Source organism: Homo sapiens, chromosome 11, assembly GCF_000001405.40.
Source record: "Homo sapiens chromosome 11, GRCh38.p14 Primary Assembly".
NCBI lineage: Eukaryota > Metazoa > Chordata > Mammalia > Primates > Hominidae > Homo > Homo sapiens.
In genome coordinates this window covers 99,401,322-99,420,797 of record NC_000011.10, presented here as the reverse complement: position 1 = coordinate 99,420,797, position 19,476 = coordinate 99,401,322, and the positions used below count along the sequence as shown (strand labels likewise).

Here is a 19,476-nt window from a genome sequence, read left to right as displayed (position 1 = left end):
AGAGAAAATGTCTATCTTGCCCATATTTTCTTATGTAACCACAAGACCTGACAGTTAACCAGTGAAGCAGCCATTTCTTTTCAGCTGCCTTTGATTGACTGCTTTCAATTTATCAGGCATTCAACAAGGTACTTTTTCATCGTAATCTTATTTAATCCTTTCCACAACTCAATTATGTAAGCATTATCATGGCCCTTTTCAGACTAGGATTCTGACAATTAGGAAGGCTCTACATGTTGTTCAAGTTCTGAAATGGCCAGAATTTGAGCTGTAGAAGCTTGCTCTTTTTATGACAACACTAGAGGTTTTTAAAAAATTTTTTGAGTGTGACATTATGTATGAAAATTCTTATTATGTGCTACCATTAACACTGAAATATCTTGTTTTTCACTTTAAGCTAAAATTTCTAAAATCCCAGGGCTTGCATGCACACTGCATGAAAATTAATATTTATCTAAATTATGACATGCAGTTGATACATCATTTTGGGGATAACCTTTTTCCCAGATTTTTTTTGACTTACGTTTTTTCAAAATACTTTTCTTTGAAGTAATTTCCTTTCTGTCAAAGGAGACCAGATGACTAATTGTTCAAGTTTCACCAAAAAGAGCATTTGAACCAAACCACCGTACCAGTCAATGGAGTCACGGTTCTGCAGCCTTGTATCCGGGGAATTTATAAGTAAATAGAGGGCTGCACTAAATCACCTCTAACAATTTTTTAACACTAGACATGTCTGTTTCCCCAGCACCTTGGATTTACCTTGACTATAGCACTTCTCCTACTTTATTTAATTTTCTGTCTCCTTCCTTAAACTGAATGCCTTGCAGACGGAGACTCCTTTTTTTCACTATCATACATTTGGTGAAGACCACCATGCTAGATACATGGTGTTTGCTGAACATTTTTTGAATTAATGAAATTAATTAAAAGACCTCTGTTGAGTTACAGGGAGAAGTCATTAATTGGGATATAACAATAACAATAATTTGTAAGAAAATACCACAATAGAAAGACTGTGAAACAAATATTGCCAATCCACTGCCAATTTGTATTTCATCAGAAATTTACATAACTTTCTCCAGCCACACCCCTCCCCCCACTCCAGCCCTACTGAACAACTCAATCTACTGTAAGTAAAAGATACTATTTAAAAATTGGGAATGATACATGCCCTTCATTAGCTACAGTCCATATAACTCTGGCTTAGTATTGTCACTAATTTCATTGCTGTCAGGCTCTGTTTTTAACACTTCCAGCCCTAATAAGCTAAAACAACCAATTAGCCCTTCTTGGCACAGCATGGTTTCAACATTCATTCAGCTTGTTAGAGGATTAAAACAGAAGCAACCACTTAACCCAGAAATAAATAATTACAATAATTTGTAAGACAAATTTTTTTTAATATAAAACAAACCTCTCAACTTCTTAGAAATTCACTTAGTTTCATTATCCATTCAACAAACCGACAAGCATATCCCAAGCTCTAGAAAATGAGTAAAGTCATCACATACAGTGACTGGTCTATTTACATCTCCAGAGGGTGCAATTCACATTGACTGCAGTTTGAATACCATCCCTGAGGCTGTGCAGTGCTGTTGTGCTCAGGTAGGTGATGATGGTGGCAAGATCTCTGCCCTCTGCATAGTTGATGACATTTTCTAAGAATTAGAATATGGGGAAGTGGTCATAAACTTTGCTGTTTGTTTACTTTGGCACTTGCTTAGTGGCAGGCACTGTATTATGTAGAAACTTGACATTCCTTATCATGCATAATCCTCCCATTTTATAGTTGAGGACACTGAGTATTAGAAGGCATAGCAAACTGCCATAGCTAGCTAAGTGGCAAAGCATATGTTATCCCATACAATTCATCTGTCTCCAAAGCTTGAACTTTTCCACAATTCACACAGGTAACTTTAGAATGATTAAAAGGCTTGTATGACATAAAGTAGGACATGGACTTTATTTGGAGGCATCATGAGGAGTTTAATTCAGGATCACGACATGATTCGACAGATACTTAAGAAAAATAACTAGCAAGAGTAAGTAGAACAGGTAATGAGTGTAATTTACTGAAAAGGCACTTGTCAATTACATTAGAGCCATGGGAAGAAAGAAACCCCAAACAAGTCTTTTTAATGACAGTTGAAATGGTTTCCAAAATGAAGTGCATCAGGTTAGTCTCAATAATCAGAAATCATTGTCTGTACCGAAAACTTCCAAAAAGAAAAGTAATTTTAGCTAAAGATCAAATAATCCAATTAAATGTTCTTGGATCCAATTAAATCCAATTAAAAATTTGCAGCATCAATTATCCCTTTGGACATGTTATCTGAACTTGAGCGCTTTTAACACCCTCTTCTTTCCAGGTCTTTAATGGCTTGATGTCAACTTGAGTTTTACTGTCTTTTCTTGCCTATGGATCTAGTTAAAGAAATGTGCCAAAACAAGCAAAAATTATTCACATAATTTATTTTCCACATAGAGTAAGAATAACTCATACCTTTTTTTTAAAGTTGTTGTTTTCATGTTGGTTCTTTAAATTTTTTTGTTTTTCCATTTAAAAACTAGAAGTAATTTATTTTTAGCAATGTAGTCATGAAATTATCCCAATATTCTTCTCTACTATTTTGATTGAAGTTACACAGAAATTGCAAGTGTAATCTTGGATTAACCTTAGCAAGGCTGACTTTTCTAGCAGTATTGTAACCAGCAGAAATAAAAGAGAAGTGCATTAGATACTTTAAAAACCTTGAGCAGTTTAAATTACTTCTGTGACCAAGGCTATATATTCATAAATCTGAAAAGAGTTGTCCAAGTCAGCATAACTTAAATTTACAAGAGTAACTTCTCAGAGATCACCGTTTAAACATGAAACTTTTCTAATGTTACCACAATTGAATACATCTCATTGCACTCAACTGAATGCTTCAACTCACCAAAATGGGGACAATAAAGTCTATTAAGTCTAACAATAGCTAGTAATGGTTTTAGTATCCAAAGAATGTGATTTATAATTTGTGTTTATTGAAGATTAAAAGTAATAAATAAAAATCCTACTTGTGACACCATGAATTTACAAAAGAATGGAAATGAAGAGTCTCTGCTTTCATGGGACAATACTTACAATTGAATAAGCATTAGATTCTTCAACTCAGCCTTTTATTTTCCTAGATAATAGTACAATTTAACATAAAATAGTAGGAATAATTGAGCACTTCAACTCAACACAATGGCTATAATAAAGTCTATTAAGACACATTTACAAATAAAGTGAAATCAAACTCTTAATGAAACATCTTTTGTGCATTTCTAGCAAAAACTTAACATTCACACCAAGTTGACGGTACATTGTGAATAGTGTTTTGTTGTATACTAAGTGTAGATTAACATATTCACTTATGTCATTATTTTATACTTAGCAATTTCTTCCCTGAGATAACCACTGTCTAATTAAAAATGTGTTTTAATAATCCGTGTATTTTTGACAAATCAAGCTTTGCCTGTCAAACCAATGAGTGTGTTTAATCTACATATTATCACACTAATATTGGACCAAGACTACCTAATATAAAAATAACTTATTGAAAAATAATAGAAAGATATAAAATGTATTCACGCTGCTATTTGACAAGTTAGACCAAGTTGGGTTTTTTTAACTTGATTGAACAGTAATTTAAAAATTAATTTTAAAAAATAATTCATTGACACTTTATCTGTGAAGGTCATTGATTTTAAAGTCAATTTGCGTTTGTTGTTCAATTCTAGTTTGGATACACAGAAAAATAGGTCAGTCTCTGCCTCTTGGAGTTTAAAGCCTCATAAGCAGATACTTTCAGTAAAATGTACAAGTGCAAAGTAGAAGTAGTTGTGGAGTCCTGATATGAGTAAGTAACAACAAGGAAGAGCTCCCAAGTGGGAGAGAACAATTGTTCTAAGACACAGCTATTTACAAACAATTCACTGGCATAATCTCCCCTTCCCAAATACCTTGTTTTGCACATAGCCCCTTCCAGCACAACCCTATAAAACTTCCCTCCAGCCTCTGCCTCCTTGCAGACAGCCCCTTCTCTGTTATGATGCCCGTTGCTACCTTGCAATGTACTTTCCCTGTAATCTATCTTTCTTTACCTACAACTGTCTTGGTAAATTCCTTTACCACCCATGACACCGGCCCCAGATACTTGCACCTGTGACAGTAGTATTAGAGACTGGGCATGATGGCTTATGCTTGTAATCTCAGCAGTTTGGGAGATTAAGCAGGAGGTTTGCTTGAAGCCAGGAATTTGAGACCAGCCTGGGTAACATACTGAGAACCCATCTCACCAACATGAAAATAAAAATAAATTAGCCAGGCATGGTGATGCTTGCCTGTAGTCCTAGCTACTGGGGAGGCTATGGCAGGAGGATTACTTGAGCCCAGGAGTTTGAGGCTCCCCTGAACTGTCATTGAGCCACTGTACTCAGTCAGCCTGGGTGACAGAACAAAACCTTGTCTCAAAAAAAAAGGCATTAGAATGCTCCTTTTTTATGTAAAAGTTTAGATAATATATGTTGAAAAAATACCCTGCATACTTGTAATTTCCAGTATGCTGGTAATTAGGCTGTCCAAGAAACACCAATAAATAAGTAAATAAAACCCTGAATTATATAGCATTTGCTAATATTCATGGTCTAAATACTCCCACCAAGGCTAACTCCAAGCTGCCAGTGAGCTGCCACTGAACTTGAAGTTGGGAAGAAATGCACATACAAATGGAAAATCAGGTACAAGCTGACTACAGTGCACTATTTTGAGGCTACTTATATTGTTCGGTTTTGTGTAACTTAACTTAGGTTTTTGAAATAAATAAACACTGGAAAAATCAAGAGCAGAATTAATTGACTCTTTGAGTTCGGATTAAATCATTCAACTTCTGTGGAACTCAATTTCCTTCTTCATAATATTGATGCCCCCTCTACCATTCTAAAGTGTTGAAGAGCTATGCAAGTTACGTTAATGGAAAGGAATGATTGCACGACTATCTGTTAATTAGTTCACATTTTGGTGGTGCTAGGTCTTATTGGGGCCCAGAAAATGATATCACAAAGTGAAGGCCTCAGAAGCAAAGTTTATCTTTGACACTCTCCTGCTCTCCCCTCAGTTTCTCCAGAGGCTAGCCATAGAAACAACTAGAATCCCCCACCCACAATGTGAGTCATAGAAACCAGAACTCCCTTTCGTCAAAGACAGCCATAAAACCTGAAAGTATTACTTTAACTTTCCCCCTCTTTTCTGCATAACAGCTGGCCATAAATAAATTTTCTGATTTACCTGGTATAGGTTATAAGACCCACATTCCAGAGAGGCCCTGCCCCATACCCAGAAGGAAGGAGAGAATGCCTCACAGAGAGGCCAAGAAGAAGCTGAACAGACAAGCCTTGCTGGGTTTTCTTCCTCACACTATTAGACTACTATTAGATCACACATTTTTTTTTTATCCAGTCACATTTCTACTCACTGTCCCTGCTTCATTAAACCTCAGAAGAAAATCAGATGGCTTCCCATGTACCTTTAGGTTATTCAATCTGAAGGTTCAACGTGTTGTGTAAAACTTTGATTAAATAAATCTGTTGTGCTTTGCTCCTGTTAACCTCCTTTTTGTTTATAGGAATGCTCACCACGACCCTTATGATGGATGATGGGTAAGAAAAGATATCACACATTTTCACGCCTATAATTCCAAAGAGTGTGTTTTAGCATGCCTTGTTGAAATAATCCATGAGAACAAATACTTCAAGAATTACAATATTGAGTTGCCTGTTTTACTGGAGTTTTCTTAAAAAATAAAATAGTTCAGATATTTATAACAGGAAGCCAAAGGCAACTAAAAAGCACAGAAAATTCTATCCTCAAAATGCTTTCCTTCCTTGTTAAACTATATTCAGTATCCTTACTCTGACCACCCGTTTGATTGTCTGCCATTCTCTCCTCTGTCACTCACGACAGACACAAAGACTTTCTTGCCATTCTTCCAGAATAGCAAGATTATTTTAGTCTCAGGATTTTGGGCACTCTTCTCTGTGCTTGAAATAATTTCCCCCAGATATCCACACATCTTAGTCTCTCCCATAATTCAGGTCCTGCTCAGATGTCATTTTAACAGAGAGAACTTCTCAAAACATCCCTCCCATACCCCTATCACTATCTGCCCTGATTATATAGCTCTATTTTTCTGCCTAGCCTGACCTCATGACATACTGTATATGTATTTGTTCATTGCTGAACTTCTTTGTAAAGTTAAGAATGTATATATATATTCTTATACATATATATTCTATATATATTCTGCATACATACACACATATGTATATAATTTTCTGCTGTATCTCCAGGTCATAGTGCTTAAAAGAGTTTCTGGCACTCAGCAGGCACTTATTAAATATCCATGTGTGCACAACTATACACATACATCCCCTTTCCATGGGGCAGAGAAAGAGCATCACCAACACACCCAGCTCAAAACTTTCTAGAATTTAAATTAAACGTGTTAACACAGTGATATCAATATTGCAATATGGAAATGTATATTTTTGTTATTTTCTCAGCGTTTGTTCAGCTGGAACTAATGCGTTATAAGACATAGTTGGACAGAAATATAATATATAACAGGTTTCCTGATCCACAGTGGTTTAGGAGGAAGAGGCAGGAATTTTCTTCAAATATCAACTAATTAACACTGACAACTTGGGATCACTGAAGCTCCTTTCTTTTGTATCTATTTGTTGAACAAATAGAATATCTAGTTATCTGTATTAAATTTGTTTTCTAGCTCAACAGCTTGGTTTTTGGCTGGCCATAAGTAGATTTGTGAAAGATGTGTTGACATTTAATTTATGCATAAGCAAAAATCAATTTATTCTAGACAGAAAGCACTGGTTTTGGCAGAATAGTTGAGATTATAAATAAAAGGATTTTTTTCACTTGCAGATGGTGAAGTCTCTTACTGTGTTACTTTTCCCAACTTTATAAACACCTATAAGAGAGTCATGAATTGTATGTAGTTTCAAGTGTCATTACAACAAAGACTTCTGAGAAAAAAACGAATTTTGAAACAAGATTACTGATTTGTTATTTCTGGTGAAATCTTTTTTGTTTTTGTTTTTTTGTTTTTGTTTTGTTTTGTTTTGTTTTTTGAGATGGAGTTCCTCTCTGTTGCCCACGTTGGAGTGAAGTGGCATGATCTCAGCTCACTGCAACCTCTGCCTCCTGGATTCAAGCAATTCTCATGCGTCAGCCTCCCAAGTAGCTGGAATTACAGGTGCCCACCACCACACCTGGCTAATTTTTGTATTTTTAGTAGAGACAGTGTTTCACCATGTAGGCTAGGCTGGTCTCAAACCCCTGACCTCAAGTAATCTGCCCATCTCAGCCTCCCAAAGTGCTGGGATTACAGGCCTGAGCCCCTGTGCCCAGCCCTGCTGAATTCTTTAATGATAACTTGTCACACTGTTAGTTGCCCATTGACATATCAAGATATTTCAGACTAAGTCCCTTGCTTTTGTGTTTATTGCCTGTTCTAGTTAATCTTCCTCTTCCTTGCTCTCTTTAACATTATACCTTCCCCGTTAATACTTGACTCTAAGTATTTTTTTCAGGGTGCTTTGATGTAGATTAATTTGCCTGCAAAGATATGGCAGAGACAGATGCTGCTCTGACTTCTGAGTTCTCACTTTAAAGAACAGTGAAATAAAAGGTTAACAAGGTGCAAAGAGATAAGCTGTGTCATTGGTCGTAGAATCCACATGCTGCTGCAGTTTATAATAAAGTCATAAAGTCAAATGTGCAATTTGTTGTTGATGTCTGCTTGGTGATGTACTCTGGTAATAAAACAATTAAATTAGTTATATTCACCCTGCTCTGATTGATGCAGGGTGATCTTCTAATTCAAATTTAAACTTACTAATTCATCTACAGAAAAGGGCAACAAAAATACAGCCTCATTTATGGGTTGAAACAATAATACAATACAAACTCTTCCATAAAGAGAGCAAGTGATAAAGAATGCACTATAACGTTGTGGTGAAAAGCTAGAATTGAGTTCACAATGAGTGTGGCATGGCGACCTCGGGAATTTTATATTATTTCTTCAAGGCTGTTTCCTTCTCTGTGAAACAGGATTAAAGTGGCATCTATTTCCTAGAATTATTGTGAAGATTATGTGTAATAAATATCAACAATTATTAACAGAGTAGCTGGTGCATAGTACTAAATATAACATGTCCAATGATGACGATGATGATGATGATGGAGGTGAGGATAGCAATGAGATGGTGAAATTGATACAGTGATAAATAGTATTCATTGTTTGAACAGCCTTCCCAATTAGCTATTAGTATGAAGACTTGGAAACTACAGATTTTGATTAACTTGAAGTTGGGATCTTTATATATATTCCCTAGAATTGGCACATTTGTGGCTGGTATAAAGAACATATTCAAAAAATATTGAATGGATTTTGAGGATAAGAAACTATCTATTCACCTTTGTTTTCCCTGTCCCTCACCAATGTACAGTACAGTATCTTACTTAGAATTATACTACAATATTCTATAAACTCTGAAAACTTTGTCATTTGCCTTCTTAAGAAAGTTCAAATAATATATTTCTTCTATATAAAAATCATACAAGGAAATGTTACATATCTATGATACATCTTAATACAATATAATTTGAGATAATTTTGAATAATATTATTTAAAAGCTTCATTTCCCCATTTCTTTATTTTTATTCTGGTATGCTTCTTAGTTTGTCAAAGTAATTCAAAGTAATATATCTTGTCTGGCCCATAGTTAAGGGTCTATATGTGGGAGATAAATGTCTTATGAAACATTCAAAATAGGATTGCATGTGTTATTTATTCCGTTAGTCTATGTGGAGTCTACAGGTTGTTTTACCAATCAACCATATGTAAGAAATGAAACTGGAGTTCCATGGGTTTATACAGTGACTTTAGTGCTAAGTTTAGAAATTTTTAAACAAATAGTGCATGGCTTAAAATCCTTGTCTGATAATCCAGATCTTTGCTGGCAAGGGCAAATGCTATTCTATTTCCTTGGGCTCTAGGCTACAAATAGGAGTAATTTGAAGTAGAAACAGTCAAATTAAGAGTCTCCTGGGTGGAAGTTCTCCTTGGGCTCATCTCCAAGCCACATAAAACCCTAAGAGCTGTGATAAAAAGAGCTTCTTTCTAATTTTTTTAAAAAAATTTTTTGTATTTATTTATTTATTTTTGAGACAAGGTCTCATTCTGTCATCCAGGCTGGAATACAATAGCATGATCTTGGCTTGCTGCAACCTCCATTTCCCAGGCTTAAGCCATCCTCCTTCCTCAGTCTCCCAAATAGCTGGGACTACAGGTGGGCACCACCACACCCATATAATTTTCATATTTTTTTGTGGATATGGGGTTTCACCATGTTGCCCAGGCTGGTCTCCTGGGCTCAAGCAATCTGTCTGTGGCCTCCCAAAGTGCTGGGATTGCAGGTGTGAGCTACTGCTCTTGGCCCTCTTTTCTGTCTGATTTCTGGCTTCCTCAACTGAAAAATTGTAATTATATATTGTGGAAATTTCAACAGACAAGGGAAAAACTTAAGCTATGTAAAAATTAGAAAATATGTGAAAATAAACATGTTACCAATATAGATTTATTGATTAACTTTATTTCATAAAATGTTTTCTGTGAATGTAATAGAACAATTCATAAAGAATAATGAAAGTTTTATTTATGAAAGTTCAGATAATCTCTGTAAAATGCGCAGCTCAATATACGCAAATAAATTTGGGAAATCTACTTGCTTTCTATTACTGTATACTGTGGTTTGGAAACTTCTAAGATTAGGTTGTTAAAGGAGAGTGCACAAAACTGCTGATTCATTAATTTTCTAATAATAAACTGTGACAAGTAACTATAAATGATTATCAGGGAATAGAGTGAGCAACAGCTATAATGAACACAGAGGGGGTACATTTCCAAAATAGCATGTGCCATATGTACGCACAAAACCAATTATGCAAGTAATGTACACATTATTCATGCCATGTTTTGCAAATCAGCAAACCTTTTAAAGTTCCTTCTAATGAAAAGTTTGCTGATTGTTGCCCAGGGAAAATCAAGGAGAATTTGAGTAGTACTTTCTGGATAAATTTACAGCTGTTTAGCTATTTCTCTCTCTCTCTCTTCTTCTCTGGTTTTGGGTCCCTTTAATCATCAAGAATAAATACTTGCAAAAAAAATACATTTAGAAACCTTTTGTTCCACAGTTTGGACTCACATCAGGCATCTAGCATGTTATTTAGAACAGTCTTTCATGGCTCTGGCAATATGGATCTAGCTTGCCAGTCTTTTATGAAAACAAGGAAAGGTATGTGCATTTTTCTCCTGTAAGTTAATTCTTGTCCTTGTTTTCACCTATTTCCTTAACCGTGTCAGTTCTTCTACAAATTGCAAAGGACCTTCTTATAATTTTATAAATTGAGATAAAGAAAACAAGGCTGCATAGCTTGTGTATTGAACTTAAATTTTAGCTCTTTCATTTTCTAGCTAGGAAACTAAAATACAAGCTAAACGGAGTGTATTTCTTTTTCCTATAATTCACCACTATTTGTACTCTTCTATCAAGTCATTAATCATTCTTTTTTTGATAATCATCTTATAAATATGTTTTGCAAACTAAGCCTCCAACAAGGTTATGATATTAATTATCATATCCCTGGCAAAACACCTTATAACTCCCAGAAACTTATTGCATGTTGGATAAATGAATAACCTGAGAGCAACTTGCGATGGTAAGTGTAAGTGCCTAGCACAGAAATTGGAATATAGTAACAATAAATGATAGTTGACTTTGTGTCTTAATGACAATTTATTATTAAGCTTTCCTTTCCCAATATCACATCCTTTTTCTTCTACTAAGTAGTCACATAATTCTTACAAATTAACTTCAATTTTTGGTTCAATTATTAGGTCATTTTGCCATACTAGTAAAATGCAACCCACACTTGATGGCTGCAATGACCTCTAAGCAATTCAACGAGTTCACTCGGTTCCATCATTCTAATAACTATTGCTATACTATTTTTCTCTCCTTGTTTTACCCAGTCTTGCATATTTCACAAAGCCTTTGTTTCTTCATCATCACCACTTCTCAACAAAAATCACCAACGTATTAATTCATGATTTATTTTTATCTGTTTACAGATGATCTTTAACCTCTCAAAAAGTTTTGTATCAGAATAAAAACATTTTTGTCAGTGCCTTTATTTATTTATTTTTTTATTTTTGAGACGGAATCTCGCTCTGTTGTCGCCCAGGCTGGAGTGCAGTAGCACGGGCTTTGCTTGCTGCAAGCTCCATCTCCCGGGTTCACGCCATTCTCCTTTCTCATCCTCCTGAGTAGCTGGGACCACAGGCGCCTGCCACCATGCCTGGTTAATTTTTCTTTTGTATTTTTAGTAGAGATGCGGTTTCACCGTGTTAGCTTGGATGGTCTCGATCTCCTGACCTCGTGATCCACCCACCATGGCCTCCCAAAGTGCTGGGATTACGGGCCTGAGCCATCGTGCCTGGCCGGCAGTGCCTTTTAAAGATAGTGACTAATAACTCTTTTTTGAACTAAAGTAATTAAAATTATTAGAAATATCAACTACATTATTTCAACAAGTAAGAATGGCCACATAATTAGATTACTTACAACAAACTAATTCACTACTATTAGAATCAGAAATTCCAATAAACAGAATCACAAAACAGGCTGACTGTTGAAAATCACAAATGATGTTTCACCAAGAGAGAAAGTTGACTTGGGATTTATTTTGCAGATTATTATAAGAATACATGATTTAAAATGATCTTAACAACAGATGGTCATGCCCAAAATAGTTAAAGATTACCTATTATTATTCAGTCAACCATTGTTTTATGTAAAACTACACAGTATATTTTTCTTTGTTAATTAAAGTAGGCAGGCTCTGACTCAAATTTAATTGGGTGGCCAAGTTCATTTAAGATACAGATTTTTATTTTTTTGGAGGTTAAATCTGAAAAAGTGTATAAACTTATTAATTTATGGGGCAAGATAATGTTTTCTAAATATTTACATTTATAATTTAAAAGGGATGTTTACACATATAAAGAAGCCTGCATTAATCTCAGCACTTTGGGAGGCCGAGGCAGGAGGATGCCTTGCGGTCAGGATTTTGAGGTCAGCCCAGGCAACATATTGAGACTCCAATTTCTATGAACTAACTTTCTTTCTTTCTTTCTTTCTTTCTTTCTTTCTTTCTTTCTTTCTTTCTTTCTTTCTCTTTCTTTCTTTCTTTCTTTTTCTTTCCTTCCTTTCTTTCTCTCTCTTCTTTCTTTCTTTCTTTCTTTTTTTTTTTTTTTTGGTAGCCTGGTGTAGTGGCATGTGCTGGTAGTCCTAGCCACTCAGAAGGCTGAGGTGGAAGTTCCAGGCTGCAGTGAGCTATGATCGCACCACTGCACTCCAGCCTGGGCAACAGAGTAATACACAGTCTCTTGTATCTAATAATAATAACAATGATACTTTTTAAAAAAGAAGCCTGCAAAAACGCCAGTGAAATTAAAAGGAGGGCTGCAGCAAGATGGTGGTGGAATAGAAGGGTCCAACAAATATTGCTCCCCACCTGCCCTGCCAAGGACACTAATTTAATGACTATCTACAGAAAAAAGCACCTTTGTAAGAACCAAAAATAAGGTGAGCACTCACAATACCTGGTTTTAACTTCATATCACTGAAAGAGGCACTGAACAGGTAGAAAAAACAGTTCCGAATCACCGATGTCACACTTCTCCAATCCCTGGGTAGTGGAAGCATGATGCAGAGAGTATTTTTGTGCCCTATGGAGATGGAGAGTCAGTGATTATGAGGCACTGAACTCAGTGCTGCCCTTGTTATAGAAGAAAGCAAAACTAGACCAAACTCCCCTGATGCCTGCCCATAAAGAGAGCACTCAAATGAGTCCTAGTGAGGGGGGAGTTACAGATTCTAACAGTCAGAACTTGAATTCCCACAAGCCTTGCCACTACAAGCTAAAGGCCACTGGGGCCCCAGATAACCTTGAAAGGCAGTTTAGGCCACAAGAACTGTAACACCTAGGTGAGTCCTAGTGCTGAACTGGACCAAGAGCCAGTTGAGTTGGGGGATAGAGGGACATGACCTACTGAGACACCAGCTGGGATGGCTAAGGGAGTACTTGTCTCACCCCTCTCCTAACCTCAAACTGCACAGCTCACGGCTCCGAAAGAGACCCCTTCCTTCCACTTTAGGAGAGGAGACAGAAGAGTGGAAGGACTTTGCCTTGCATCTTGGATACCAGCTCAGCCACAGCAGGACAGGGCACTAGTCAGAGCTGTGACATCCCTTTTCCAGGCCCTAGATCGCAGATGACATTTCTAGACACACCCTGAGCCAGAAGGGAACCCGCTGATTTGAATAGAAGCACTAGGCCTGTCAGGATTCATCAGTTTCTAACTGAAGAGCCCTTGGGCCCTGAATAACCAGCAGTAATACCCAGATAACTATGTTTAGGGCTTTTCATGAGACTCTGAGATTTGCCGGTTTCAGATGGGAATCAGCACATTCCCAGATGTGGTGGCTATGGGGCAAAACTACTATTGCTCGAGAAAATCAGAGGGAAAAAAGTAAAGTGGACTTTTTCTTTCATGTTAGGTACTCGCTTGGCCACAGGGGGATAGAACACCAAACAGGCTCTTGGGGTTCCCGATTCTAGGACATGGCTATTGGATGGCATTTTTGGACCTACCTTGGGCCAGAGGTGAGCCCACTTCCCTGAAGGGTGAGTCCCAGGCTAGACAGACCTCAAGCTGAATAAAGAGCCCTTGGGCCATAAGGGAATATCTGCAGTATTCTGGCAGTACTCCCGATGAGTCTGATGTGGCAGTGGTCACAGTATGAAGCTCCTCTGCCTTTGAAAATGGGAGAGAAGAGCGGAAAAAAGCTGTGTCTTATGATCTGAATGCTAGATCAGCTGCAGTACAACAGAACACCAGGTAAACTTCTAAGGTTTTTGGCTATAGTCCCTGGCTCCCAGATAGCACCTCTGGACCTGTCCAAGTCCTGGGAGAACTCACCTTTTAAAGGGAAGGACATAGGACTGGCTGGCTTGGCCACCCGCTGATTGTAGAGCCCCAGGGCTTTGAATGAGCATAGGCAGTAGTTAGGGAGTAGTTGCAGCAAGCCTTGGGTGAGACTCAATACCGTGCTGGCTTAAGATCTGACCCAGTGCAGTCCTAGGAGCAGTGGCCACAGGGGAGCTTGTGTCACTCAACCCCTAGCTCCAGATGGCTCAGAACAGAGAGAGAGAGAGAGAGACTCTGTTTGGGACAAAGTATGGGAAAAGAACAAGAATGTCTGTTTGGTAATCCAGAGAATTCTTCTGGCTCTTATCCAAGACCATCAAGGTGGTACCTCTATGAGTCTATAAGAACCACAGCATTATTGGGCTTGGGGTGCCCCTTCAAGCAGATACAGATTAGATCACAATTCCCAAGCCTTTTTGAATATCTGGTAGGCCTTCCCAGGAAGGATGAGTGCAAATAAGCCCAGATTGTGAATACTACAATATATATCTAACTCTCCAATGCGTAGAAACAGGTAAACATCTAGAAGTATCAAGACAAGCCAGGAAAACATAACCTCACCAAGTGAACTAAATAAAGGACTAGGGACCAATCCTAGAGAAACAGAGATATGTGAGCTTCCACACCGAGAATTCAAAATAGCTGTGTTGAGGAAACTCCAAGCCATTCGAGATAACACACCAAAGGAATTCAGAATTCTTTTTTTTTTTTTTTTTTTTTTTTTTTTTTTTTTTTTGAGACGGAGTCTCGCTCTGTTGCCCAGGCCGGACTGCGGACTGCAGTGGCGCAATCTCGGCTCACTGCAAGCTCCGCTTCCCGGGTTCACGCCATTCTCCTGCCTCAGCCTCCCGAGTAGCCGGGACTACAGGCGCCCGCCACCGCGCCCGGCTAATTTTTTGTATTTTTAGTAGAGACGGGGTTTCACCTTGTTAGCCAGGATGGTCTCGATCTCCTGACCTCATGATCCACCCGCCTCGGCCTCCCAAAGTGCTGGGATTACAGGCGTGAGCCACCGCGCCCGGCCAGGAATTCAGAATTCTATCAGGTAAATTTAACAAAGAGATTGAAATAATTTTTAAAAATCAAGCAGAAATCCTGTAGGTGAAAAATGCAATTGGCATACTGAAGAATATATCAGAGTCCTTTAATAGAAGAAACGATCAAGCAGAAGAAAGAATTAGTGAGCTTGAAGAGGTTGCTTGAAAATACACAAAGAAGAGAGATAAGAATAAATAACTAAAACAATGAAGCACAGCTATAGGATCTAGAAAATAACCTCAAAAAGGCAAACCTAAGAGTTACTGTCTTCAAAGAGAAGGTAGAAAAAGAGGGATAGAATGTTAGTCAAAGGGATAATAACTTCCTAAATCTAGAGATACCAATAGTCAAGTGCAAGGTTATAAAACACCAAGCAGATTTAACTCAAAGAAGCCTACCTCAAGAAATTTAATAATTAAAATCCCAAAGGTCAAGAATAAAGAAATGATCCTTAAAGCAGCAAGAGAAAAGAAACAAATGACAGACAATGGAGCTCCAATACATCTGGTAGCAGGCTTTTCAGTGGAAACCTTACAGGCTAGGAGAGAGTGGCATCACATATTTAAAGTTCTAAAGGAAAAAAAAAGTTTTACCTTAGAATAGTATATTCGGTGAAATTATCCTTCAAACATGAGAGAGACATAAAGGCTTTCCTAGACAAACAAGAGCTGAAGGATTTCATCAACACCAGACCTGTCCTATAAGAAATGCTAAAGGGAGTACTTCAATAAGAGAGAGAAGAACATTAATGAGCAATAAGAAATCATCTGAAGGTACAAAACTCACTGGTAATAGTAAGTATCTCAAAAAACCACAGAACACTATGACATTGTAACTGTGGTGACCAATAAAAAATAAAAACTATGACAACGTTTTAAGACAGACAGTACAATAAGATGTAAATAGTAACAAAAAGTTAAAAAGCACAAGGATGAAGTTAAGGCATACAGTCTTTACTAGCCTTGTTTTAGCTTGTTCCTTTATGCAAATAGTGTTAAGTTGTTATTAACTTAAATAATGGGTTATAAGATAGTGTTTGAAAGCCTCATGGTAACCTGAAACCAAAAAATATATAATGGATACAGAAAAAAATAAAAAGCAAGAAACTAAGTCATAGCACCAAAGAAAATCACCTTCACTAAAAGAAATACAGAAAACAAAGAACAAAAAAAGAGAAGACCACAAAACAACCAGAAAACAAAAAACAAAATTGTAGGAGTAGGTCCTTACCTACCTATCAAAATTAACATTGAATGTAAATGGACTAAATTTTTCTATCAAAAGCTGAATAAAGAAAAAAAAAAACCATTGATCTGTTGCCTATAAGAAATAAACTTAACTTATAAATACACACATAGTCTGAAAATAAACGGATGAAAAAATAAATTCCATGACAATAGAAACCAAAAAAAAGCAGAAACAGCTATACTAATGCAACACAAAATAGATTTCAAGACAAATTATATAAGAAGACACTAAGAAGGTCCCTATATAATGATTAAGGGATCAATTCAGCAAGAGGATATAAAAATTTTAAATATATATGCACCCGATACTAGAGCACCCAGGTATATAAAGCCAATATTTTTAGAGCTAAATACAGAGATAGACTCCAATACAATGATAGTTGGAGACTTAAACACCCCACTTTTAGCATTGGACAAATCTTCTAGACAGAAAATCAACAAAGAAACATCAGACTTAATCTTGACTATAGACAAAATGGACATAATAGATACTTATAAAACTTTTCATCCAAGAACTGCAGAATACACATTATTCTCCTCAGCACATGGATCATCATCAAGGACAGCCCATATGTTAAGTCACAAAACAAGTCTTAAAACATTCAAAAAATTGAAATAATATTAAGGATCTTCTCTAACTACTATGGAATAAAACTAGAAATCAATAACAAGAGGAATTTTGAAAACTATAGGACTATATGGAAATTAAACAATATGCTCCTGAACGACTAGTGGGTCCATAAAGAAATTAAGGAGAAAATTGAAAAATTTTTTGAAACAAATGATAATGGAAACCAAACATAACAAAACCTATGGGACAGAGCAAAAGCAGCAATAAGAGGTAATTTAAAAGCTGTAAGTGCTCACATCAAAAAGGAGAAAAACTTCAAATAACAATCTCCCAATGCATCTTAAAGTATTAGATAAGGAAGAGTAAACCCACCCAAAATTTGTAGAAGAAAAAAAATGATAAAATGAGAACAGAAATAAATGAAAATAATACAAAAGATCAATGAATCAAAAAGTTGGCTTATCGAAAGTTAAACAAGCCAGGCGTGGTGGCTTATGCCTGTAATCCCAGCAGTTTGGAAGGTTGAGGCAGGCAGATCACGAGGTCAGGAGATTGAGACCATCCTGGCTAACATGGTGAGACCCCATCTCTACTACAAAAAATTAGCCAGGCATGGTGGTAGGCGCCTGTAGTCCCAGCTACTTGGGAGGCTAAGGCAGGAGAATGGCGTGAACCCGGGAGGTGGAGCTTGCAGTGAGCTGGAATCCCGCCACTGCACTCCAGCCTGGGTGACAGAGCAAGACTCCATCTCAAAAAAAAAAAAAAAAGAAGTTTAACAAAATAGACAAACTTTTAGCCAGACTAAGACAGAAAAAAAAAAGGAAAGATTAGAATAAATAAAATCAGTGATGAAACAGGAGACATGACAGTTGATACCACAGGAATTCAAAGGATCATTAGTGGCTACTATGAGTAACTATATGCCAATAAATTGAAAAATCTAGAAGAAATGGACAAATTCCTTGACACATACAACCTACCAAATTGAACTACAGAGAAATCCAAAACCCGAACAGACCCACAAGAATTAACAAGATCAGAGCTGTAATAAAGTCTCCCAGTAAAGAAAAGCTCAGAATCCAGTGGCTTCACTGCTGAATTCTACCAAACATTTAAAGAACTAATACCAATCCTACTCAAACTATTCCAGAAACTAGAGGAGGAGGGAATGCTTCAAAAGTATTCTACGATGTCAGTATTATCCTGATATCATAATGAGACAAAAACAAATTTAAAAACAACAACAAAACTATAGGTCAATATCCCTGATTAATATTGATGCAAAAACCCTTAACAAAATATTAGCAAACCAAATTCAACAATACATTAAAGATACTGTTCATTATGATCAAGCAGAATTTACCCCTGGGATGCAAACATAGTTCAACATATGCAAATTAATCAATGTAATACATCAGATCAACAGAATGTAGGACAAAAACCATATGATCATTTTAATTGGTACTATAAAAAGCATTTGATAAAATTCAATATCGCTTCATGTTAAAAATGCTTAAAAAACTGGGGATAGAAGGAACACACCTCAACATAATAAAAGCCACATAGGACAGATTTACAGCTAGTATCATACTGAATGGGGAAATACTAAAAGCCTTTCTTCTAAGATCTGGAACATGACAACAATCCTCACTATGATCACTGTTATTCCCTACAGTACTGGACACCCTAGTTAGAGCAACCAGACAAAAGAAATATATAAAGTGCGTCCAAATTTGAAAGAAAGAAATCAGATTATCCTTGTTTGCACATAATACAATCTTAAACGTGAAAAAACCTACAGACTCCACCAAAAATCTATTAGAACTCATAAACAAATTCAGTAAAGTTGCAGGATAGAAAATCAATATACAAAAATCAATAGAATTTCTATATGCTAACAGTAAACTGAAAAAAAAGTAGTGCCATTTACAGTAGCAACAAGTAAAGTTAAACATCTAGGCATTAAGTTAACTAAAGAAGGAAAAAAACCTCCATAATGAAAACTATAAAACACTGATGAAAGAATTGAAGAGGACACCCCACAACGGAAATATAGCTCATGTTCACGGATTGGAAGAATCAATATTGTTAAAATGTCCATACTACCCACAGCAATCTACAGATTCAATGCAGTACCTACCAAAACACCCATGACATTATTCACAGAAATATTTTGAAATTCTAAAATTTATATGGAACCACAAAAGTACAGAACAACCAAAGCTATCCTAAGCAAAAAGAACAAAACTGGATGAAGCACATTACCTGACTTCAAATTATACTACAGAGGTATAGTAACCAAAATAACATGATATTGTACTGGCATAAAACAGACACATACATCAATGGAACAGAATAGAGAACCCATGAACAAATCCACATACCTACAGTGAATTCATTTCTGACAAAGGTACCAAGAACATACCTTAGGGAAAAGACAGTGTCTTCAGTAAA

The 19,476-nt window shown here is 36.6% G+C and overlaps 1 protein-coding gene across 11 annotated transcripts in view, besides 1 other annotated feature; it reads right to left on the bottom strand.

Moving 5' to 3' along the window:
• CNTN5 (contactin 5) overlaps nucleotides 1-19,476 on the bottom strand; it is a 1,337,937-nt gene that overhangs the window by 938,088 nt on the left and 380,373 nt on the right. The gene's annotated exons all lie outside the window — the stretch shown is intronic.
• Nucleotides 1,123-1,808: an enhancer, noted in NCBI's record as "NANOG hESC enhancer chr11:99289721-99290406 (GRCh37/hg19 assembly coordinates)". NCBI's record gives its function as "activates a minimal SCP1, AML or CMV promoter by ChIP-STARR-seq in primed H9 embryonic stem cells {active_cell/tissue: H9 hESC(primed)}" and the evidence as "EXISTENCE:reporter gene assay evidence [ECO:0000049][PMID:30033119]".